The sequence below is a fragment of the Homo sapiens genome, chromosome 13 (assembly GCF_000001405.40).
Source record: "Homo sapiens chromosome 13, GRCh38.p14 Primary Assembly".
NCBI classification, from domain to species: domain Eukaryota; kingdom Metazoa; phylum Chordata; class Mammalia; order Primates; family Hominidae; genus Homo; species Homo sapiens.
Window position 1 is genome coordinate 63204037 of NC_000013.11, and position 25401 is coordinate 63229437.

The 25401-nt window shown below is 36.3% G+C and overlaps 1 long non-coding RNA gene across 1 annotated transcript in view; it reads right to left on the bottom strand.

Annotated features, from left to right (window-relative positions):
• Positions 1–25401, bottom strand: part of LINC00376 (long intergenic non-protein coding RNA 376) — a 144994-nt gene that overhangs the window by 20936 nt on the left and 98657 nt on the right. The window contains exon 5 of the long non-coding RNA NR_126409.1: positions 22943–23032. This is a non-coding gene — a long non-coding RNA (long intergenic non-protein coding RNA 376). The remainder of the gene's footprint in view (positions 1–22942; positions 23033–25401) is intronic.

A 25401-nucleotide genomic window follows, 5' to 3' on the forward strand; every position in this document is an offset into this window, starting at 1 on the left:
TTTCCCTAGAAACAGGATGTCATTCAGTACTTTAGCCAAACATGTTTCCTGCAGGGTATAAAACCAAGGGCAGGCTACTTTTTGAGGTAACTCAGCTGTGCGGCAAGTGGGGCATATGCAGATGAAACTCTATCTACCCTTGGCAATTTTCCTGAGCATTGGGGTACTGGATCATCACGAATTTTAGGTTTCCATTGTCCTCGGCTACCTTTCTATCTGTAAACAATAAATCTGCTTCATATAACTTGGTTTGTGTGTGATCTGTGTCATCAGATTTGAGCAAGTAAGAAAAGTGTAACTCAAGAGTTAGTGGACTGAAATTTAGACTACTGTTCCTGAAGGTTGGCATGGTGGTGATTTTTGCTAGCTTGCATGCAATGGGAGTCTTCCTTTAGGATTCATAATCAGTGAACCTACTTCACAGCGGCAATACTCCCCAAATTTGATGTACAGATTGAATGCGATCTCTACTAGAACCCCTGCTGACTTCTTTCTTAAAAAATGACAAGTTGATTTTTCAAATTAACGTACAATTGAAAGGGATTCAGAAACTCAAAATAATCTTGAAAAAGAACAAAGTAGGAGACCACTCACATTCCAATTTCAAAACTTACTTAAAGTAACAGTAATCAAGACATTGTGTTAGTCACACAAAGAAAATTTTATAGATCAATGGAATAGAATTGAAAATGCAAAAATTAACTGTTACATCTATGGTTAACTGATTTTTCTATAGGTGTAACAAGACCATGTAAAAAGGAAAGAATAGCCTTTTCAACAAATGCTGTGAGACAGGATAGCCAAAGGATGAAATTGGGTCCTTACCTCACATCATATACAAAAATTAATTCAAAATGAATCAAAGACCTAAATGTAAGAGCTAAAACTATAAAATTCTTATGAGAAAACACGGAGTGAATCTTAATGACCATTAATTTGGCAAATGATTCTTAGATTTGACACTAAATGCATGAGTCACACAACTTTAAAATACAGATACATAGGACTTCAAAATTTTAAAACTTCTGTATATCAAAGGACTGTCACTAAACTTAGAAAACCCACTGGATGGAAGTAAAGATTTCAAAGTCATTTATAAGATAAGCAACTTATATTTAGAATATACAAGGAACCTTTATAATACAATTATAAAAAGACTAATAATCTATTTTTTAAAATAGGCAAAGGACTTGAATAAACATTTTTTTTCCAGAGCAGATATACAAATGACCTATAAGAACATAAAAAGATGTTCAACATCTTTAGTTTTCAGAAAATTATAGATCAAAATCACAATGAGTATATAGTAGTTATTAAATAAATAAATGTTGAATTAATGAAAGGTTAACGATAAATGGCTATAGTGGATAAGAAGAAGATATAAGAATCAGAATAAGATACTAATGAAGTTGAAAACTGTGTGAGCAAACAAGTTGGAAGTATTGAAGGAAGTTACCAGAGTGGAATTTTGAATTTGAGTTTTTTTTTAAATTTATGGCAAATAGCAAAAATTAATCTACACATCCTTATAAGGAAAGCCATGGTCTTGGAGTAAAGTATCGACAGACAGTAAGATTTCCATTGAGATAAAGAAGTCAATATTATCAAAACAGTTGATACTAGAGAATAATTTTCTCAATGTGAGATGACACTTTGGTGAGTCCAGGGAAATATTATATTAAAGAGAAGTGCAAATTCAAATAGAAAATTTACAAAAGATTATGAGAGTAGCAGTTGAACAATTAAAAAAAAAGAGTATGCAGGTACTGGAGGCAAGAGAATATTTTTGTGAGGCATCATGAATTTAGTCCCAATTGTCTATTGAAGAAACTGGAGGAATGGAGGCCATCAAGAAAAGCAGGATTCAGCTGCTCTTTGGTGATCATGCCTAACTTATACTTTAAACATATTTAGCCTGAAGTTTGTAGTTTCGAGAAGCATGTTAATTGTCATCACATGATATAAGTAGTCTTTTCAGCTTCCATTAGTGAACTTGCTAATTACCAACTCTATAAAAAGTCAACATTGGAGGGGGATCATCAATAAAGTTAAGTAAAGAAGAAGAAATAATAACTTTATGGTGTGAAAATTTATTGTATTAGTCAAGGTTCTCCAGAGAAATTGAATCAGTAGGAGATTAACTGTAGTACAATTAACGGTGGTGGAATTCTAGGAATCTGTTAGGGTGTTTCCCTGGCTCATTTTCCCATAAACTACATAGGATATGACAAGACCAATACTAAATAAAGTCAATGTAGAAGAATATGGATTGAATATCCAAACTCATAAACAGTCTCATCATTTTGATTGAATTAATTCATCTATATTACATGAGATATCAATGTAATCAAATGTGAAATTTGCTTTAAAATGTATTGTTACATTATGTTAAACATAATGCTGTGTGAAAACACATAATTGAAAAATGAGAAGATTTTAATAATGGCATCAAGCATGTGATTATTTTCTGTAGTTATTAATTTTAAAACTGGCTGCAACATTGTGTTGAAGATACAGTAACAGATGGGGATTTCCCTACAGAGAAATTTTAGCTTCACTATGCAACAAGATTTATTGGCCTCATCAAGAAAATGTATGGTAGGTCAGAAAATACAGTCCTTTGGGGCTTCTTAGTCATTAAAAAAACAGATGAAGTTTTCTGATGGTTAAAATTCCAAATAATTTTTCTTTCTAAATTTTCTCGGAAAGAGTGAAGTCTGAGGCTTGGAGGGTAGAAAACAAGAAAATTCCTTAGAACATTAAGGAAGTATCTATGGCATTTCTATGGTTTTTTAAAAAATGAAATAGAATTAAGTATCACCAGGAGTGGTGTCTAGTTACTTCATTTTTTCTCTTAAAGAGTATAAGAACACTATTAAAAACTCTAAGTAGAAAATATTGCTCTTACAGGCTTTATTTCTATGAGTGTACTTATAACAAATCATATCACAAATGCTCTAGGATATGAATCTAGTTTGCATTCCAGTTTCATTTATCATAAAAAAAAATCAAAACTGCCCATTTCAGTTAAAACCTTACTTTTGAAATAGCATGAAGAATACAATTTTATTTTTTTATTTTAAAATTTACATGGAGAAAATGCCAAATGCACATAATAAGTTGGTTTGATACTAAAGGTCAAATTTGCAATGCATATAATGACAGAATGAGCTTAATTAAAATATCATAAAAAATCTCATTTATTGATGATTTTAGTTCACGTTAGTGGCTTTGACCTTAGGCTAGCCTCAGGCGTCTTTCAAGCTGCTTGCCTTAACAGATTGTGAATACCCAAACCAGTTCAGCATTGCATATGATTTATTTCAGAAATGTGGTGTTGAAAGACAGAAGTCACCAAACTGCCTAAATGTTGATCATATTTTCCTCCCCTCTAATCATATACTGATCACAGCATTGATGTTTCATTTTAAAGTTTGTAGAGTTCAATTATCTGAAGAGAGATGAGTTCATGAATTTAGCTAAGAATATAGGGCTGTTGTTTGGTCACCTGGTTTTATAACCTAAAAATGATTAGGAGAACAACAGAGAATTATATAGATGTTTAAAAAATCTCTCATTCTCCATTACGTACATGTAAACATACATCAGCAGTCAACAAATATTCACTTAAAAAGCCAAATAGGGCCAAGAATAGTGGCTCACTCCTGTAATCTCAGCACATTGGGAGGCCGAGGTGGGCAGATCACTCGAGGCCAGAGTTTGAGACCAGCCTGGCCAACATAGTGAAACCCCGTCTCTTCTGAAAATACAAAAAATTAGCTGGCTGTTGCGGCACATGCCTGCAAACACAGCTACTCAGGAGGCTGAGGCAAGAGAATAGCTTGAGCCTGGAAGGCAGAGGTTGCACTGAGCCAAGATTGTGCCAGCCCGAGCAACAGAGCAAGACTCTGTCTCAAAAAAAGAAAAAAGAAACAAAAAGCCAAATAGCATACAGTTTAAATCTGTAGGCTTCACTATCACTGTTACAACATCACTATTTTTTCCTCTCAAGAAAAATAAAGCAAACAAAAATCAGCCATAGATAATAAGTACATGAATGTGCATGGCCACATTCTGTGAAATCTGTGTTTATGGAAACAGGCAACTGATTTGGGGGCCAAGTTCACTGACTTCTGATATACATTATTCATCTTTACCATTTCAATGGCCCTGGACTCTCTAGTTCTTCTGTTAAATCTGAAGGTGAATGAGGTGAATGCTTTTATGCTTCTGTGTGTTAAAATAATGACCCAAGACTTCTACTCAATTTATGAGTATTTAATGTTATTTTTCTTTTTCTAGATTTAATTGGCCAACGCAGACCAATTAGATTCCTTTTGTCATCATGTCATAGATTTCTTTAGCATATCTCTTTTTTGAGATGGGAAAACTGCTAGAAACCTTGCATGCCCTTGCACCTTCTTGCTGTGACAGCCAAATGTGCAAGGTCCTGTGTACTTTTCACTCAGACCATTTGTCCTGTGTTTACAGCAAGCCATCTTGAGGGTTGAGGTTATGTCTATGCCCAGGTGAAGATCAGACTAACTTCAGCCTTCTATAAATGTGATGATTCCAGAAGCTCAGTGCTTCTCTCCTACGAAAAATTCTACCATGTGCGCAGGCATCACAACAGGCATTCTGCATCCATGAAACATCAATAAGAGAGCTTCTTAGCTTTTTAAAAAGATAAAATCTCAGACCCTGCACTGTTCTGGACAATTTTGGTGACAAGCATGTGATACCTCACAGAGACATGGCTTCTTAGAAGAGAAGAGATGGAGAGAATGGGAATAAAAAGACTCTCCAGGACGAGTGAATGTTCACGAGTATGGGAAGGCTGGCTCTCAGAATGAGTGTTTTCCACTGTCTTATCTGTTAATGAATGTTTAAAGGCTAAAGAGGGAGAGTTAGAACTGAAACCAGCCTCCTGATCGACTGTTATTCACTCTGCTTGGTTGTTCACCACCCTTAGTTGTTACTCACCCTCCTTTGGAAAAGAGGAGGAAAGAATGTGAACACCACAAAGGTCTGAGGCCTCAAAGTAAAGGCAATATGGTTGTGGCTGCTGAGTCAAAGATCCCCAAAGTTAAAATCAATGGTGTCAGTAATAATGATAGAGAGCTTTGAATGAACCAAACCCAGATGTTCATTTGTTGAAAATGTATAGCCACTTGAACCTGTAAGTGAATGAGAAGTTTTACTTAATAGAGCTAAGCCTCTATCTCCCTCTACGCCATCTGATGATGCCCTCCTTGTCTCCCACTATTTTGGGTACTTTAAAGAAAACACTGAGAATCCTGGAAAATTTGGGAGGAGGGGAAGGACTCAAACTGTTATAGCTCTATTGCATATAGGCACCAAAGTCATCAGTATACCCCCTCCCATGGGGGAAAGAGATGCTGGACTCAGGAGGCTGAAAGTGCTAAGAACTATGAGGAAGAGCTTTGGTGAATGACAGGACGAATATGTTTCTTGACTCCGGAGCTGTTGCCAATGACTTAGGCCTCTGGAATTCACTTGAAAAACTATAGTATGGCAGATTAGAAGCATCCCTTTCTGGGGCCGCAAACTCAAAATAAATTGCTGCTGCTAATTGAATCATCTGAGTCAATTCTGTAGATACTAACATCAAGGTCCTGCTCTTTAAATGAGATAAACTGGAACCAAGTTTCTGATCAATCCTATTCTGTAAAGAATGACACCCAACGAAGCATATCTATCATCAGATATATCTTTGTTTGTAGACCGGGTACAATTGCGTCAGACCTGTGTAAATCAGAATTTGTGTAAATCAGACTTGTGGTTGTGCTCATTAAGATAAAACATAACCCTGGTTAATCCAACTCTCTGCCCATCTCATGCCTGGGCTGACAAAGTTATTCATGACTGGCAAACACACACACACACACACACACACACACAAACACACTTCTCATTTCAAATTGATGTTCAATAATCTTAAGTGAACCTTTACTCCTGCCTGACACTATTTTCTTAGCCCATTAACTTTCTCATTTTTTTCATATTTTCTCCTCTTTCATCAAACTTTGAATCCTCCTCCTCTTATTTTAAATTGCAGCTGACAATCTTGCTAATAGACAGAAAAATTAATTTCATCGAGCCATCTACCTGCACCTGTGGTTATATATCTGTCCTTCCTTTCTTCTTGCCACCATGAATTGTAGCACTAAGAGCCTAGATAATATCAGCCTCTGCAAAAGTATCCTAGATTCCATCCCCTCTTGCTTTCTTACCCCAGAATTTTCCCATTTATCCTCTGTTATTTATTTCTTTCTAGACTGAATTATTCCCATTAGTGCATTAAGATGAAAATTTGTTTTGTATCTGCCTCTTCTTCTAACTACCCCCTCATTTCTGTCATTTTTACTTGAAAGGATTGTCTAAACTTGTCTTCATTAAAATTACATTTCATCCTCAACATCCTACCCAAACTGCTGTGATCAAGGTCATCAATTACCTCCACTTTACTAAATGCAATTGTAATTGCTCTGTTGTTATCCTTCTTGAACTATCTGTAAGCACTCAGATTTGCTAATTGCTTTTCCTTTGTGAATAATGCATTTCCTTGACTTCATGGAGAGCTCATCTTCTAACTATGATTTCTTTTTTTGGTGACTTTTCTGTTTCCTCTTTGTTTCTCCCAACTGTGAATGTTTACGTTGGCCCAGGGATCAACTATATGATTATTTTTCTATCTATACTCCCATTTTAGTTTATCTTATATAGTCTCCTGGCTTTATACACCATCCGTATGCTGAAGAATTCAATCCAGTGTTCTCTAAATTTCTGATATGTATGTCTAACTACCTATATGACATTTCTCTTTGGATTCATCATAGGAATCTCAAGCATAGCATGCCCAAATCTGAGCTTCTTTTATTTCTCTCCAACCCTGCTCCTCTTCCTGTAGTCTTCATCATCACAGCTAGTGATAACATTATTCTTCTAATTGCACACACCTACACCTGGTACACCTGAGTTTTACCCTTGACTTTCCTTCCTCCTTTTTGTTTTATCTTCATGCATCTGGTCCAGCAGGAAATCTCAATATTTATTTTTAAAATATATTCAAGATGAGACTACTTCTCACCAAACCCACTGGTACTATCCTGACTAAAACCACTGCATTTTTCTATAAAGACTTTTAAAATCACCTAATTACTGTTCTTCCTGTTTCTACCCTTACTGCCTTAAATTTATTCTCAATATAACCACCAGATTGATCTTCTCAAAACATATATATTGTTATTCCTCTGCTCAAAGCACTCATCCCGTTTTATTCATATTGAAAATACATATGGAAAATGGCATCCCGTTTTATTCATATTGAAAATACTACACGATCACCATCCCCATTAGTTCTTAGAACACATTATACTTCTGCTCACTCTATTCTAGCCACATGGATTTTCTCGATGTTCCTCAAACCTTCCAGTAATGGTGTAGCCCTATACTTGCTCTTTTTTTCTGCTTAGAATAGTGTCCCTTTGATACCCAGATGGCTACCTCTCACGTTTAATCAGTTTGTTTCTCTAAACTTCTTCTCAGTCAAGCATTTCCAGGCCATCCTAGGCAAAACTGCAACCCTCAAACATGTTTATCAGGACCAAATGTTGCTTGAGTGAAGAATTTATATCTGCTTTGTTTCTTGGCTTATCCCTAGTGCCCAGAATGATGCCAGAAACATAAATAAATATCTATTGACTAAATAAATAAATATCTATTGACTAAATAAATGAATTACCTAATACAAAACATAGCAGAAAATATACAGTGAACAATGCCATTTAATACAAACAATATGAATAAGTGCCCAAAAGAAATATTGATGTGTATGAAAAATCTCGGCCAGGCACCGTGGCTCATGCCTGTAATCCCAGCACTTTGGGAGGCCGAGGCAGGCGGATCACGAGGTCAGGAGATTGAGACCATCCTGGCTAACATGGTGAAACCCCGTCTCTACTAAAAAAACAAAAACAACAACAACAACAACAACAAAATTAGCCAGGTGTGGTGGCAGGCGCCTGTAGTCCCAGCTACTAGGTAGGCTGAGGCAGGAGAATGGCGTGAACCTGGGATGCGGAGCTTGCAGTGAGCCGAGATTGCACCACTGCACTCCAGCCTGGGCAACAGAGTGAGACTCAGTCTCAAAAAAAAAAAAAAAAAAAAAAAAGAGAAAAGAAAAATCTCTATAAATCTCATGGAAAAACGTTTAATGAAATTTAAAAACATACTATGTTCTGATATTTCAATATCAAAAAATGTACATTTTTTCTAATATGTTACAAAAAGTCTCATATGATCTCAATAAAAAATATAAGGAGATCTTATATTTGGAACTACAGAGAATCATTCTAAGATGAATTAGAAAAAATATAAAGGAATGGCCAGTGAATATTTTAAAAAATGTAATCAAGGTGTACAAACCCTGATTGAATTTAAAACTTGTTTTAATATTTGGCATAGTCTGGTAATGGAACATGAAGAAAAAGACAAATCAGTAGAACAAGGTAAAGTTTGAAGTGGGATCATACATATGATTATACACATGCACATATATCCACAAAAACAAATACATTTTTAGTGTATGATAAAGATGGCATCTTAATTCTATGGAAAGTTTATTTAGTCTGTGAACTGTGTGCAGTAGGTCTGCAGCAAGATAAGTAGCATGTGACTAAGCTGACTGTTTAGTTCTGTTTATATATTTTTCTCACAGAAAGACTTTCTCAATGAAAGGTACAAGGCAATGCGCTACATTCTGGTATAAGCTTCTTAATCTGTTGCAGACCTATAAGAAAAATTATATGGTTTAATGCTTTGAATAACAAGGCCCTGGAGAACTTATTTTATTCTCCTTTGTGCCAGAATATGTTTTTATATATTTTAACAGCCTTTTTAAGGAATAATTGACATAAAAACTGCATGCATTTAAAGCATACAATTTGATAAGATTTGACACACGTGTAAAGTCATCATCACAATCAAGCTTTTGAACATAATCACCCCCAAATTTTCCTCATGCCCCTTTGTTTTATTATACCCAACTCCTGCATTCCCAGCCAACTATTAATCTGCTTTCTGATTAGTTTACATTTCATAGAAATGTATATCAGTGGAATTATAGAGTATGCATGTCAGGCCTCTGAGCCCAAACTAAGCCATCATATCTCCTGTGACCTGCATGTACATATCCAGATGGCCGGTTCCTGCCTTAACTGATGACATTGTCTTGTGAAACTCCTTCTCCTGGCTCATCCTGGCTCAAAAGTTCCCCTACTGAGCACCTTGTGACCCCCACTCTGCCCACCAGAGAACAACCCCCCTTTGACTGTAATTTTCCTTCACCTACCCAAATCCTATTGGCCCCACCCCTATCTCCCTTTGCTGACTCTCTTTTCGGACTCAGCCCACCTGCACCCAGGTGAAATAAACAGCTTCGTTGCTCACACAAAGCCTGTTTGGTGGTCTCTTCCCACGGACGTGCATGAAATTTGGTGCTGTAACTCGGATTGGGGGACCTCCCTTGGGAGATCAATCCCCTGTCCTCCTGCTCTTTGCTCCCTGAGAAAGATCCACCTAGGACCTCAGGTCCTCAGACCAACCAGGCCAAGAAACATCTCACCAATTTCAAAACCGGTAAGCGGCCTCTTTTTACTCTCTTCTCCAGCCTCCCTCACTATCCCTCAACCTCTTTCTCCTTTCAATCTTGGCACCACACTTCAATCTCTCCCTTCTCTTAATTTCAATTCCTTTCATTTTCTGGTAGAGACAAAGGAGACACGTTTTATCCGTGGACCCAAAACTCCGGCGCCGGTGTTTAATCATTGCAGGGACGCCTCTCTGATTATTTACCCAGGTTTCAGAGGTGTCAGACCATGCAAGGACGCCTGCCTTGGTCCTTCACCCTTAGCAGCAAGTCCCACTTTTCTGGGGAAGGGGCAAGTACCCCAATCCCTTCTCTCCATGTCTCTACCCCTTCTCCACCTTCTAGGGGGCAAGAAACCCCCAACCCCTTCTCCTTCACCCTTAGCGGCAAGTCCCGCTTTTCTGGGGGAGGGGAAAGTACCCCAAACCCTTATATCTCTGTGCCCCGATCCCTTATTTCCGCTCCCCAACCTCTTATATCTCTGCACCCCGATCCCTTATTTCTGTGCCCCAGCCTCTTATATCTCTGCACTCCAATCCCTTATTTCTGCACCCCGACCTCGTATCTCTGTGCCCCGACCCCCTTCCCGCTTTTCTGGAGGGTAAGAACCCCCGAACCCCTTCCCTCCGTGTCTCTACTCTCTCTTTTCTCTGGGCTTGCCTCCTTCACTATGGGCAACCGTACACCCTCCATTCCTCCTTCTTCTCCCTTAGCCTGTGTTCTTAAGAACTTAAAACCTCTTCAACTCTCACCTGACCTAAAATCTAAGCATCTTATTTTCTTCTGCAATGTTGCTTGACCCCAATACAAACTCAACAGTAGTTCCAAATAGCCAGAAAATGGCATTTCAATTTTTCCATCCTGCAAGATCTAAATAATTCTTGTCGTAAAATTGGCAAACGGTCTGAGGTGCCTGATGTCCAGGCATTCTTTTACACATTGGTCCCTCCCTAGTCTCTGTGCCCAGTGCAACTCGTCCCAAATATTCCTTCTTTCCCTCCCACCTGTCCCCTCGGTCCCAACCCCAAGCGTTGCTGAGTCTTTCTACTCTTCCTTTTCTACAGACCCATCTGACCTCTCCCCTCCTCCCCAGGCTGCTCCTCGCCAGGCCGACCTAGGTCCCAATTCTTCCTCAGCCTCAGCTCCTCCACCCTATAATCCTTTTATCACCTCCCCTCCTCACACCTGGTCTGGCTTACAGTTTCATTCCATGACTAGCCCTCCCCCACCTGCCCAGCAATTTACTCTTAAAAAGGTGGCTGGAGCTAAAGCCACAGTCAAAGTTAACGCTCCTTTTTCTTTATCCCAAATCAGATAGTGTTTAGGCTCTTTTTCATCAAATATAAAAATCCAGCCCAGTTCATGGCTCGTTTGGCAGCAACCCTGAGACACTTTACAGCCCTAGACCCTAAAAGATCAAAAGGCTGTCTTATTCTCAAAATACATTTTATTACCCAATCTGCTCCCGACATTAAATAAAACTCCAAAAATTAAATTCCGGCCCTCAAACCCCACAAAAGGATTTAATTAACCTCGCCTTCAAGGTATACAATAATATAAAAAAGTTGCAATTACTTGCCTCCACTGTGAGACAAACTCCAGCCACATCTCCAGCACACAAGAACTTCCAAACGCCTGAACCGCAGCAGCCAGGCGTTCCTCCAGAACCTCCTCCCCTAGGAGCTTGCTATAAGTGCCAGAAATCTGACCACCAGGCCAAGGAATGCCTGCAGCCCAGGTTTCCTCCTAAGCCGTGTCCCATCTGTGCAGGACCCCACTGGAAATCGGACTGTTCAACTCACCTGGCAGCCACTCCCAGAGCCCCTGGAACTCTGGCCCGAGGCTCTCTGACTGACTCCTTCTCAGCTTAGCAGCTGAAGACTGATGCTGCCCCATTGCCTCAGAAGCCCCGTAGACCATCATGGATGCCGAGCTTCAGGTAACTCTCACAGTGGAAGATAAGTCTGTCCCGTTAGTCAATACGGAGGCTACCCACTCCACGTTACCTTATTTTCAAGGGCCTGTTTCCCTTGCCTCCATAACTGTTGTGGGTATTGACAGCCAGGCTTCTAAACCCCTGAAAACTCCCCCACTCTGGTGCCAACTTGGACAACACTCTTTTATGCACTCTTTTTTAATTATCCCCACCTGCCCAGTTCCCTTATTAGGCCGAGATATTTTAACCAAATTAACTGCTTCCCTGACTATTCCTGGACTACAGCCGCATCTCATTGCTGCCCTTCTCCCCAACCCAAAGCCTCCTTCGTGTCTTCCTCTCGTATCCCCCTACCTTAACCCACAAGTATGGGACATCTCTACTCCTTCCCTGGCAACCGATCACATGCCCATTACCATCCCATTAAAACCTAATCACCCTTACCCCGCTCAATGCCAATATCCCATCCCACAGCACGCTTTAAAAGGATTAAAGCCTGTTATCACTCGCCTGCTACAGCATGGGCTTCTAAAACCTATAAACTCTCCTTACAATTCCCCCATTTTACCTGTCCTAAAACCAGACAAGCCTTACAAGTTAGTTCAGGATCTGCGCCTTATCAACCAAATTGTTTTGGCTATCCACCCTGTGGTGCCCAACCCGTACACTCTTTTGTCCTCAATACCTTCCTCCACAACTCACTATTCCATTCTGGATCTTAAAGATGCTTTTTTCACTATTCCCCTGCACCCCTCATCCCAGCCTCTCTTTGCTTTCACTTAGACTGACCCTGACACCCGTTAGGCTCGCAAATTACCTGGGCTATATTGCCGCAAGGCTTCACAGACAGCCCCCATTACTTCAGTCAAGCCCAAATTTCATCCTCATCTGTTACCTATCAGCATAATGCTCAAAAACACACGTGCTTTCCCTGCTGATTGTGTCTGATTAATCTCCCAAACCTCAATCCCTTACAAAACAACAACTCCCTTCCTTCCTAGGCATGGTTAGTGTGGTCAGAATTCTTACACAAGAGCCAGGACTGCACCCTGTAGCCTTTCTGTCCAAACAACTTGACCTTACTGTTTTAGCCTAGCCATCATGTCTCCGTGCAGTGGCTGCTGCCGCCCTAATACTTTTAGAGGCCCTCAAAATCACAAACTATGCTCAACTTACTCTCTACATTTCTCATAACTTCCAAAATCTATTTTCTTCCTCATACCTGACACATATACTTTCTGCTCCCCAGCCACTTCAGCTGTACTCACTCTTTGTTAAGTCCCACAATTACCATTGTTACTGGCCGGGACCTCAATCTGGCCTCCCACATTATTCTGGATACCACACCTGACCCTCATGACTGTATCTCTCTGATCCACCTGACATTCACCCCATTTCCCCATATTTCCTTCTTTCCTGTTCCTCACCCTGATCACACTTGATTTATTAATGGTGGTTCCACCAGGCCTAATCGCCACACACCAGCAAAGGCAGGCTATGCTATAGTACAAGTCACTAGCCCACCTCTTAAAACCTCTCATTTCCTTTCCATCGTGGAAATCTATCCTCAAGGAAATAACTTCTCAGTGTTCCATCTGCTATGCTACTACTCCTCAAGGATTATTCAGGCCCCCCCTCCCTTCCCTACACATCAAGCTCGAGGATTTGCCCCCACCCAGGACTGGAAAATTAGCTTTACTCAACATGCCCCAAGTCAGATAACTAAAATACCTCTTAGTCTAGGTAGACACTTTCACTGGATAGGTAGAGTCCTTTCCTACAGGGTCTGAGAAGGCCACCTCAGTCATTTCTTCCCTTCTGTCAGACATAATTCCTCAGTTTAGCCTTCCCACCTCTATACAGTCTGATAATGGACCAGCCTTTATTAGTCAAATCAGCCAAGCAGTTTTCCAGGCACTTAGTATTGAGTGAAACCTTTATATCCCTTACAGTCCTCAGTCTTCAGGAAAAGTAGAACAGACTAACGGTCTTTTAAAAACATACCTCACTACCGGGCGTGGTGGCTCATGCCTGTAATCCCAGCACTTTGGGAGGCTGAGGCGGGTGGATCACGAGGTCAGGAAATCGAGACCATTCTGGCTAACATGGTGAAACCCCGTCTCTACTAAAAATACGAAAAAATTAGCCGGGTGTGATGGCGGGCGCCTGTAGTCCCAGCTACTTGGGAGGCTGAGGCAGGAGAATGGCATGAACCCGGGAGGCGGAGCTTGCAGTGAGCCAAGATCGCGCCACTGCACTCCAGCCTGGGTGAAAGAGCAAGACTCCGTCTCAAAAAAAAAAAAAAAAAAAAAAAAACACCTCACGAAGCTCCAGCTTAAAAAGGACTAGACAATACTTTTACTACTTTCCGTTCTCAGAAGTCAGACCTGTCCTCAGAATGCTACAGGGTACAGCCCATTTGAGCTCCTGTATAGATGCTCCTATTTATTAGGCCCCAGTCTCATTACAGACACCAGACTAACTTAGACTGTGCCCCAAAAGAACTTGTCATCCCTACTATCTTCTGTCTAGTCATACTCCTATTCACCGGTCTCAACTACTCATACATGCCCTGCTCTTGTTTACACTGCCGGTTTACACTGTTTCTCCAAGCCATCACAGCTGATATCTCCTGGTTCTATCCCCAAACTGCCACTCTTAACTCTTGAAGTAAATAAATAATCTTTGCTGACAGGACTATGCTGAATTTCCTTAGGCACTCTCTAATTAAATGTCCTAGGTCCTCCCAATTCTTAGACCATTAATACCTGTTTTTCTCCTTCTCTTAATCCGTTTAGTTTTTCAATTCATACAAAACCTTATCCAGGCCATCACCAATAATTCTAAATGACAAATGTTTCTTCTAACAGTCCCACAATATCACCCCTTACCACAAAATCTTCCTTCAGCTTAATCTCTCCCACTCTAGGTTCCCACGCCGCCCCTAATCCTGCTCAAAGCAGCCCTGAGAAACATCACCCATTATCTCTCCATACCACCCCCAAAAATTCTCACCGTCCCAACACTTTACCACTATTTCATTTTATTTTTCTTATTAATATAAGAGGATAGGAATGACAGGCCTCTGAGCCCAAGCTAAGCCATCCCTGTGACCTGCACGTACACATCCAGATCACATCCAGATGGCCGGTTCCTGCCTTAACTGATGATATTCCACCACAAAAGAAGTGAAAATGTCCTGTTCATGCCTTAACTGATGACATTGTCTTGTGAAATTCCTTCTCCTGGCTCATCCTGGCTCAAAAGTTCCCCTACTGAGCACCTTGTGACCTCCACTCTGCCTGCCAGAGAACAACCCCCCTTTGACTGTAATTTTCCTTTACCTACCCAAATCCTATAAAACGGCCCCACCCCATCTCCCTTCACTGACTCTCTTTTCAGACTCAGCCCACCTGCACCCAGGTGAAATAAACAGCTTTATTGCTCACACAAAGCCTGTTTGGTGGTGTCTTCACACGGACACACATGAAAATGCACACTTTTTTCTTTTTTTGTGTGGTTTCCTTCACTTAGCATAATTACTTTCAGATATATCAATGCTGTTCGTATGTATCTAATAGTTTGTTCTCTTTTATTGCTGAATAGCATTCCATTTTATGGGTATATAGAGGTTCTTTATCCACTCATCTGTTGGAGAACATCTGGGCAGTTTCCAGTTTTCAGTTATTATAAATAAGGCTGCTATGAATGCTCATGTTTACATCTTTATATGCACTTCTAGTGTCAATGTAACATAATACAACATTATGACATAGTTCTGGCCATTTATTTAAAAAGTTAAATATATGCTTAAATATTATCCAATTATTTCACTCTTAGGTAATTATATCCATAAAAACTAAATCCTTTTGATGTAGCTATATTAATTCCAGTTACTTTATCCCTGTAAATGTACTCACAAATGTAATAATGATATAGGTACAACTATATACATTGCAGCACCATAATTAATGATAGATTATAAACTACATACGTGCCTGTTGGTAGGGAATACACTAATTTGAGGTACACTCATATACGGAAACATGATCTATCTAAATTGATAATTTAGAAACAGTTTTAGAGACTGACATGAGAGAATCTCCAAAATATGTGAAAGGTACAGTGCAAGGTGTTAAAGAAGAGTGAATAATGTAATGAAATAATTTGGGTGGGACAAAAAGTTTTCTAAAAATAGTAAAATTATTTTTATTACTTTGATAAACCATATTTACCTAGAATGTTAACTTTTATGGCTTTACTGTGTAACTTCTTAACTCATAAGTTTCATTATAAAGGAATCATTTTGGCACTTCAACAGCAAAACTGTAAGAAAGAAGACAACAGACTGTATATATGTATCATTATTATGTATATATATGTATATGCACATGACGTTAGATGGACCAATAGTAAAATGTCTACTCATTTATTCGTGTTACAATACCACAATACCATTCCAGTAGAAAATCAATGATGGATGTTCACTAGCATTGCTATTTGTTTTGTGGTTAAAAGGAACATTAACCAAGAATCATGATCTTAATCATTTTAGAAAGGATCTGAGAAAAAATATTTATCATTCTAATGATTTCAAGAAAAAAGTTTTTACAGTATAGAATTTTAAAAATTGAAAGTAAAACTGCTTATGGTATTGTTGAAGATTGATGCATTTTTAATTTCAAAATACTATATCACACATCTGTGACATTTTCTAAATAGTTCATATTTTAAGGCAATTTTAGAAAAAAAATCACTGAATGCAATATACTAACAGCTATAAGATTTTGGAGTATAATCTTCAATTCTACTTTATTTGTGTTAGAAATAATTGACAGAAGAAATCCATCAATTTTGCCATTTTTAAGAAACACTTTTTTGAATGCTATATTCTTATTAAAAAGGAAAGCAATGTGCCTTATTATTTGCTTAAGAAATTGAAAATAGCATGTCTCTAAATAGAGTTTGTAGAAGACATGTGGTAGCCTCACACTACCAAGATTTCATGTGAAATTATAGCTTCATGAAGACCTCTAAAAATCAGCAATTCAATGTTATGCTGATATAGTGAGATGGAATTAACAGGAATCTGCTAAATTACAGCACCATTAACCATAGCACCTGTTTTATTTCTTGCAGGATTCCTTTTTAACAAATGACCCTCCACATTTTTCTAACATTTAGAAAAATGAAATAAATAACTGAGTTTTATAACTCTGGGGCAACTTGGGGGTTACTTTTTAGTACTTTATACTTCCAAAAAACATCTATTGATTAGCTATTTCTTGCTAGGCCATTACACAGCAGGTCAGTGTCATTAGTTCCAATTTATTAATAATGTCCTTTGGGTCTAAAATGGCAAAATGTGTTGGCTGAATCTATCAGGGAATTAGCCAAGCTCTCAGGTTTAGGACTCAGATAACCAAGTCACATCCTTAGCTTGGCTAAGTCCATTAAACACTCACACTTGCTAGGTCAAGCAAATAATACTTTCACATCAGCAGAAATTAGTTCTAATAGTAGGAAAAATAATCTCTGAAAATAGATTTGCTGGACTCATCCATTTTTACACATTTTAGACTTGCCAACTCAGACAAAAGCTAACGTTTGAAAATGCGTGTACATGAGAATATAAACTACAATCCATCCTCAATATTTATCAGACTCTTTCATTGAGTATGGTTTACTAATATTTTAATATGCCAAATGTGGACTTTTAAATCATGTTTAACATCGAGTGTAACCTACCTTCAATAGTCGATAGAGATTTTAAAAATGAACGTGCTGAAATAGCATTTGGCTGATCTCTTATAGTCCTTTGAAGAAAGACTGTTTATAGGCTGGGGGTAGGGGGGTGGCAGACTTAACTGAAGAAAAAAAAAACACTGCATAAAAAGGAAAATCTTATTTCACAGAGGTATCATATCTCCAGCAGCACACAATCTGAGAAATGTCCCTTTTAAATCTCTTTATCTATTGGGAACACTTACTGACCGTCAATAAGCAACATTTAACTTGAAATGCAAAGGAAATGCAGAAATCAACATAACAAGAGAGTTATGATAGAAAAACTTTAAGCAGAGTAGAATGCAAACAAGCAGTGCATGGAGAATGCACTGTGTTCTTGTAAAGAAGAGGAAGTATCAAATAAATTATGTGTAAAGGAGTAAGAATGCATAAGAAAGACATAAAGAAGAAGAAAAATGTAACCCAAAAAGTACTGCAGATAATGTAACACAAGCCTAGAGATGATAATTACAGAAAACAGAGCAACTTTCTAACATATCTGCAATAGTCTTGTAAAATGCATTAATAAATGTTACAAGAAGATAGCAAAGATAAGGAACTTTGATATGTCTTTGGTAGCCATTATGTTTGCAAACTATGAAAAGTAACAACATGAAGGGCTTAGTGTTTAAAACTAATAAGCTTTTTAAAATTTTGTTTTTAATTCGCAAGTAATAATTACATATTTATAGGGTTCACTGAGATGTTTCAATACATATACATATGGTGTAACGATCAAATCAGAGTATTTATTCAGTCACCTCATACATTTATTATTTATTTGTGGTGAGAACATCCAAAATCTTTTCTTCGAGGTACATGATAAAGAATGAAATCCTGTAATTTGCAGCAACACAGATGTACCTGGAAGACATTATGTTAAGTGACATACGCAAGGTACAGAAAGACAAATGTGTGATCTCATTTACATATATAGAGTCTAAAGAAGCTGATCTGAAAGCAGTAGAGAGTAGAACAGTGGTTACCATAGCCTGGGGAAGGTAGGAAGGAGAGGGGAACCGGGAGAGATTTATCAAGAGGTATAAAATTATATTTACATGGGAGGAACAAGTTCTGGTGTTCTATTGCACAGTAGGGTGACTGTGGTTAACACTGTACATTTAAAAGGAATTACCTTTAATATGTTATTTCTTATATAGACTATAATTAATCAAGTAATATCTATTTTAAGTGTTTAAAAATCTGGTTATAATCCTATGCACCTATTTATATTAATATATTAAAAAGGCAATACTAATTCTGAAAACACAAAGATGAATTGATTATATCACCAATAACTGAAATTAAGTGAACTGGTATCTTCTTGGTTACCCTACTTAGGTTTAGATAAAATAGCATAATATAAACTTTCTGGGCAGAGAATGAGTTTTTTTTTTTTTAATAGAATGAGTATCTAAATTTCAACATATAGATAGACACATAAGTGTGAGAAAACCTTAAAAGTTCAACATCTATATATTTTGTTATTGTATTATGAAAGTCAATAAGAGACATTCTGAGATGATTTCAGTGTCATCCACCCAAATTTTTGTATTTAATGGACATTCAAATGTATGATCATGTTTTGCATTCAATCAAATACTTGTATCTGATACAATGTTATTCAGACTATACCTTTAGTCATATAAGTGACTTACCCATGGTTATATGTAATATTTTATAAATTCTGAGATAAAAATTTCTCAACCTTTAAATGTGTGAAGTAATGAAGTTCAAAGTTAGTGGCATTTTAGTATTGTATCATGCATAGCCTACATTTTAGCTTTAAATTTAAAGTAAATTTCTTTTGGCATATAAAATAAAGATGTGTTTTAAAATGCTGTACTTGTATTTAAAGAAATGTTTTATCTCAAAAATGTTTTGTAGAGCAATTATCAATAAAATAAAACAATTTTAATTTTAGATAAATTTGAATAAAATGAAATAAAATACAGATGAATTTAGCTGAATTTAATTTAAATATAAATAAGCTTAAATTTAGATGAATTTAACTTAAATATATATATAAACATCTATTACTTATTCATAATAGCAAAGCAAAACACAAAACATAAATGATGGAATTTTGTTTCTGTTCTTGTTTATCATTACTTCTGAGGTTTCATGTTATTTTTTTAAACTTCATCTTTTATTTTAGACACAGGGGGTGCATGTGCAGGTTTGTTTCATGGGTATATTGCACTCAGGTAGTCAGCATAGTGCCCAACAGGTAGTTTTTCAACCCATGTCTTCCCCCTTCCCTTCCCCCTCTAGTAGTCCACAGTGTTTGTTGTTCTTGTGTTTATGTCTATGTGTGTTTAATGTTTAGCTCCCACTTATAAGTGAAAACATGCAGTATTTGGTTTTCTGTTCTTGCATTAATTATCTTAAGATTATGGCCTCTAGTCCAACTATGTTGCTTCAAAGAACATAATTTTATTCTTTTTAATGGCTCCATAGTATTCCATAGTGAACTTTTTCTTTATTCAGTCCACCATTGATAGACACCTAGGTTGATTATGTGTCTTTGCTATTCTGAATAGCTTTTTGACGAACATACAAGTACATGTGTCTTTTTGGTTGACTGATCTATTTTCCTTTGTGTATATATCCAGTAATGAGATTTCTGGGTCAAATGGTAGCTCTGTTTTAAGTAATTTGGGAAATTTCCAAACTGCTTTCCACAGTGGTTGAACTAATTTACATTCCCATCAACAATGCATAATAGTTCCCTTTTCTCTGCAGCCTTGCCAGTATCTGTTGTTTTTGACTTTTTAATAATAGCCATTCTGACTGATGTGAGCTGCTATCTCACTGTGGTTTTGATTTGTTTTTTACTATGATGAGCATTTGTTCATATGTTTGTTGGCCTTGTGTATGTCTTCTTTTTAGAAGTGTCTGTTCATGTCCTCTGTCCTTTTTAAATATGGTTGTTTTTTGCTTGGTGATTTATGTTCCTGATATGTTCTGGACATTAGACCTTTGTCGGATGCATAGTTTCTGAATATTTTATCATATTCTGTAGGTTTGCAACTCTATGGATGATTGATTTTACTGTACAGAAGTTCTTTAGTTTAATTGGGTCCCACTTGCTAATTTTTGTTTTTGTTGCAATTGCTTTGAGAAGTTAGCCAAAAATTACTTGCTAAGGCTGATGTCAAGAAGGATGTTTCCTAGGTTTTCTTCTAGGATTTCTATAGTTGAGATCTTACATTTAAATCTTTAATCCATTTGGAGTTAATTTTTGCATACAGTGAAAGGCAAGGGTCTAGTTTCATTCTTCTGCCTTTGACTAGCCAGTTATTCCAGTACCATTTATTGAATAACGGGTCCTTACCCCATTACTGAAACAGATCTATTGATGCTTCAAAATGCAATGGAATTATAGGATGGAAAGATAAATGGAATTGAGTATAAGAAATGGCTTATGTTCTAAATATCAGATTCCTGAAAAAAATCATTTTATTTAAAAAAATCATTCGTTTTAAAAATAACATTGTTTATACAGTATTTTTATTTTTAATTGAAAAATAACAGGCTTAGATTAACACACATATAGCTAACATATATAAATTATATCTACAAAGCATTAATTGAAAATATACTTTAAATATAATTTTAAAACCAGAAATAATGTTAGTATTGTATCACATGTGTAGCCTGATTTTTAGCTTTAAAGTAATTTCTTTTGGCATGTAAAATAAAGATGTGTCTCAAAAAGATGTACTTTTATTTAAAGAAATATGTTATCCCAGAAAAGTTTGGTGGAGCAATTTCAAAAATGTGTATAGGGGGTGAGTATATAAAGATTTTCTCTTATTTTTTACAATAAAACATTTCTTAAATGGAATTTGATTCCCACTAGTGTTTATACCATGGTAGTATTATATGTATCATAACTTTTAGTTTCCTCTTAATTTAGACCATATATCAGTTCATATTCATAAATAATAATGCTATTTCTAAACTTGTTTGGGAAAGTTTTATGTAAAGATGTAAACCATGTCAAGCAACATATTTGAGAATTTCACACATATTTCTTATCAATTCTCCTTCAGTGATTCTTTGGGAGAATTGAACTCTTTTCTATATAGGAAAATTAATATTAACATTTATTTATTATAATTTATCATTTATAAGTTAATGTGTTTCCAAATTGAATATTGTATTTCATTAAAAGTTCTTTATCCATTAATCCGTGGAGATTCTTTAAATCAATTTTGTCTAAGAATATATGCAAATGACTACTTGCCAAACAATCTATACTTTTTCATTTGTTCTGTTTCTATTCATTCCATCTTTTGGGGATTTGTTAATATCAGGGCTTTGAATAAAGAATAACCATCAATTTTCACAACCCACGTGTAATAGAAACGATTTATCTTGTATTATAAAGCTTAAAAGACATAACACCCTTCATTTTTTTCCCTCTGAAATATTTTTTATCTACTACCTTGGAGTACTAATTCTGTGCAATTGCAGAACAGCATAGAATTGTGCTTATAATATGGCTGCAATGAAAAGCACATTAGGGATAAATCATAACACTATGACAGCATATAGTAAAATTTTTATAGATGTAAGAACTTAGAGTCAAGTTATATTTCTGCAAGACAAATTAAAAATTAATTATTACCAAGCAAAATAATATGTGTAAAATACTGTTTTATTTAATATAGAAAACACTGGTAATCACCTGTCCAACAAACATTTTTTTTTCCTTTCCTGTCTTGCTAGTGGGACCTTGCTTTCTCTCAGGTCTCCTGCCCCACTCAATGTGATTCTCAGGAAGGTCACTCCATCCTCTGCTTCAGGGTTAAATCTGTTGCTCAAGATTGTCTTTTGATCTCCATGAACCCAGACTCTGTTCACTGAAAGGATTTCTTTATCTAAAGTCCCCCATGGTCATATATGATTAGTTCACTCCCCCTTGAAATATATGTCAAAATTTTATTATGCCTTTGCAATTTTAGGTATCATTATTCGAAATTCCAAACATGCTTACGCTTTGAGAATACACGTTATTGGGTTGATGTATTTCTAAAATTAAAGCAGCCTATGTAATATTAGCCTTTTAAACTTTTGAACACTTATAGACATTCTTTTCTGATTTATATATCACATAAGGGGCTACTATAATGCAGTAAGGAAAATTGGAGAAATATAAAACTTGGATTTGGGAATTTGAATAAATCTGGGCCAAACTGAGTAATATAAAAGAAATCTAGTCAGAAAGTAGAGGACAGAACCCAACTTGAAACAATATAATAAAACAATATATACAACTTATAGCATGAACAATCAAAAGTCAATAAGTTGAATATAACAATGGGATAATTGTCTAATGTTATAAAGGAAATAGAAGTCAGAATCAGGATTTCAGTCATAGTAATACAGTCTTAATGTTGGACTTCCATTCTGGAAGAAGTGTCTGCAAGTGTAATAACGAATTACATGTGGAAGGAGTATTGGACATTACATCAAGGAAAAGGATCTGACATGGCAAAGAATGGCAGAAGTAAAGTTTTTTTCACAAATAATGTACAAACCTTTTCAAGAGCAGCCATTAACTCAGAGCAGTGTTAAAATGAAGATTATCAATTTCTAGCTGAATCACTTCAATACGGATCCGAAGAATTCTAAAAAAAAAAAAAAAAAAAAAAAAAAAAATCAGGTTTGGAATCAAAGACATGGATGGGACTGGAACTACCCAGTTGATGGTAATGAGAGTTTTTTAACACAAAATGTTCATTTGGCATTAGATTTTATCTAGCAATTAGTTTTGTATTACAGTTTCCTGCCCATTACATTGCATAGGGTGGGCCCCACAGAAGAAAAAAGATTTCCCTAATAAGGGCCACAAAGATTGGAACATTTGAAACACAGAATGGACTTAGAACGTTTAGACATGTCCAGTACTTGAGGTTTTTGTATTGCAAAACCGTATCATTTTCCATGATAGTGGTAGTAGCATGTATGTCACCAAAAAAGCCCTTTCATTTTCAAAATGTATTTATAAACAATGCACCATTTTCTGGTCCAATGATTTCCTGAAAATAAATATTATTTTGCACATCTGTCTTTCTTATCCTTAGCCAATATAACTTCTTGCAGTGGACTCTGCTTTTATTATCTACTGTTTTCCAAAGCCTCAAGCCCATGATTCTTTAAGAAACAGAATATTTTGATTTTGTACTTTGTTCTAAGCTCTTTTCTAAGCTAGTCTAAGACTTTTTAATAATGCCCAAACATATGCACACTATTTCTAAATTGTTACAATCCTATTGTAATTTATTTTTTTCTAGGTTCTCTGTTTCAGATACGAGTTCAATTAAAACAAAACAAAACAACAAAAACAAGGAGCTCTTTGTTTTTGCTACTGGCCATAGCCATAAAATTGTTTAAAGTATTCCTAAAATATATTCTTAGAGTCTCAAATTTTTGTTGAAAATTTTAAATGGTTGCTGTTTCTGCCACTAAGAGAAGGGCTTCTAAAAAGGAACTCAATGCCATTTTTCACTTATGCACATTTTGGGTTATTGACATTTTTCCCAATTTTTTCCATCTTACTACTTTTAACTATATTTTCCTTTCAAGAAGTTAACCTAACCACTTTATTAAACTAGTCAGTGTGAGTATAGGACCACAGTTAGTCATAAGTCTGCGTTTATGAACAGAGACTAGGAAAAGCTCTAAGCATTGTCCTCAGAATTTGGACTAAACCAAGTGACTTCCTTTCAGAGTTTGATGAGACATGCATCTCGGCACAATTTGTTCTCCTGTCTAATGGATTTAAAACCATTGGTCCTCCAAGCTAGTCTGCATCAGAGGTGTCTCGGGCCTATTCTTCTTAACTTCTTTATGGGGTACTCTATTATAATATCCAATGTACAGAAAAAAAGTAAACTGCTCTTACTGTGAGAAGTGTTCATTTATAGGTATCAATTAGACTAACTGGTTGATAGAGTTTTTCTGGTCTTTTAATCTTTGATGATTTTCTGCCTACTCCTTCTATTGGTTACTAAGAGAAGATTATCTTATAAATAGGTCCATTTCTCCTTTCAAAGTTTTATCAGGTTTTATTACATATACATTGAGACTCTGTTGTTAGGTGCATATATATTTAAAATTGTTATGTCTTCTTAGTAAATTAACCCTTCTAATTATTTTTAGATGTTCTTGTTATTCATTGCAATTTCCTTGTTTAATGACTACATTGTTGACATTGATAGAGCCACTCTAGCTTTCTTTGGATTATATATGCATGATATATTATTTTTGCAATAGAAGTTTCACTCTTAAAATATTTTTCTTATTCACAACCCATTGCTGGGCCATATTTTCTTAATCCAACTCAAAAATCTCAGTCTTTTAACTTGTGTTTTTAGGTTATTTTTATTAATATATTTATTGGTGTGGTTGGACTTATGTATACTATTTTGTTTGGGTTTCGTGTTTGTCTTTTTGTTTTTGATTTTCTGTTTCCTCTCTTCTGCTTTTTTGGGGGGATTATGTAAATATTTTAAATGTTCCACTTCAATTTTAATATTGGTTTATTTGGCTATGTCTTTTTGAATTATTTCTATAGTAGTTTCCTAGGGATATGTACACATATATGAAATCTAGAGATATAGATTATATATGCATTTATACATATATAGCATACATAAACATAAGTATATATAATTACTTAAATTTTTAAAATTACATACAAAAAAGTGCTCAGTGTATAGTTCTATGAGTATTGGCAAATGTAACAACTATCACTATCAAGATAGAAAACAGTTCAATAATCACAACAATGACACCCCTTTGCTACTGCCTTTTGAGTTCAAGCCTCTTCCACCCCTTTGCTGTCAGTAGCCACTGATCTTTTATCAATCATTATACTTTTATGTCTTCCAGTATGTCATATAATTGAAATCATAGCTTATGCAGCCTTTAGTTCTTCTGGTATTCAGCAAAACTTATCTGAACTCATTGACCTTATTGTGTTTATCAATAGTTT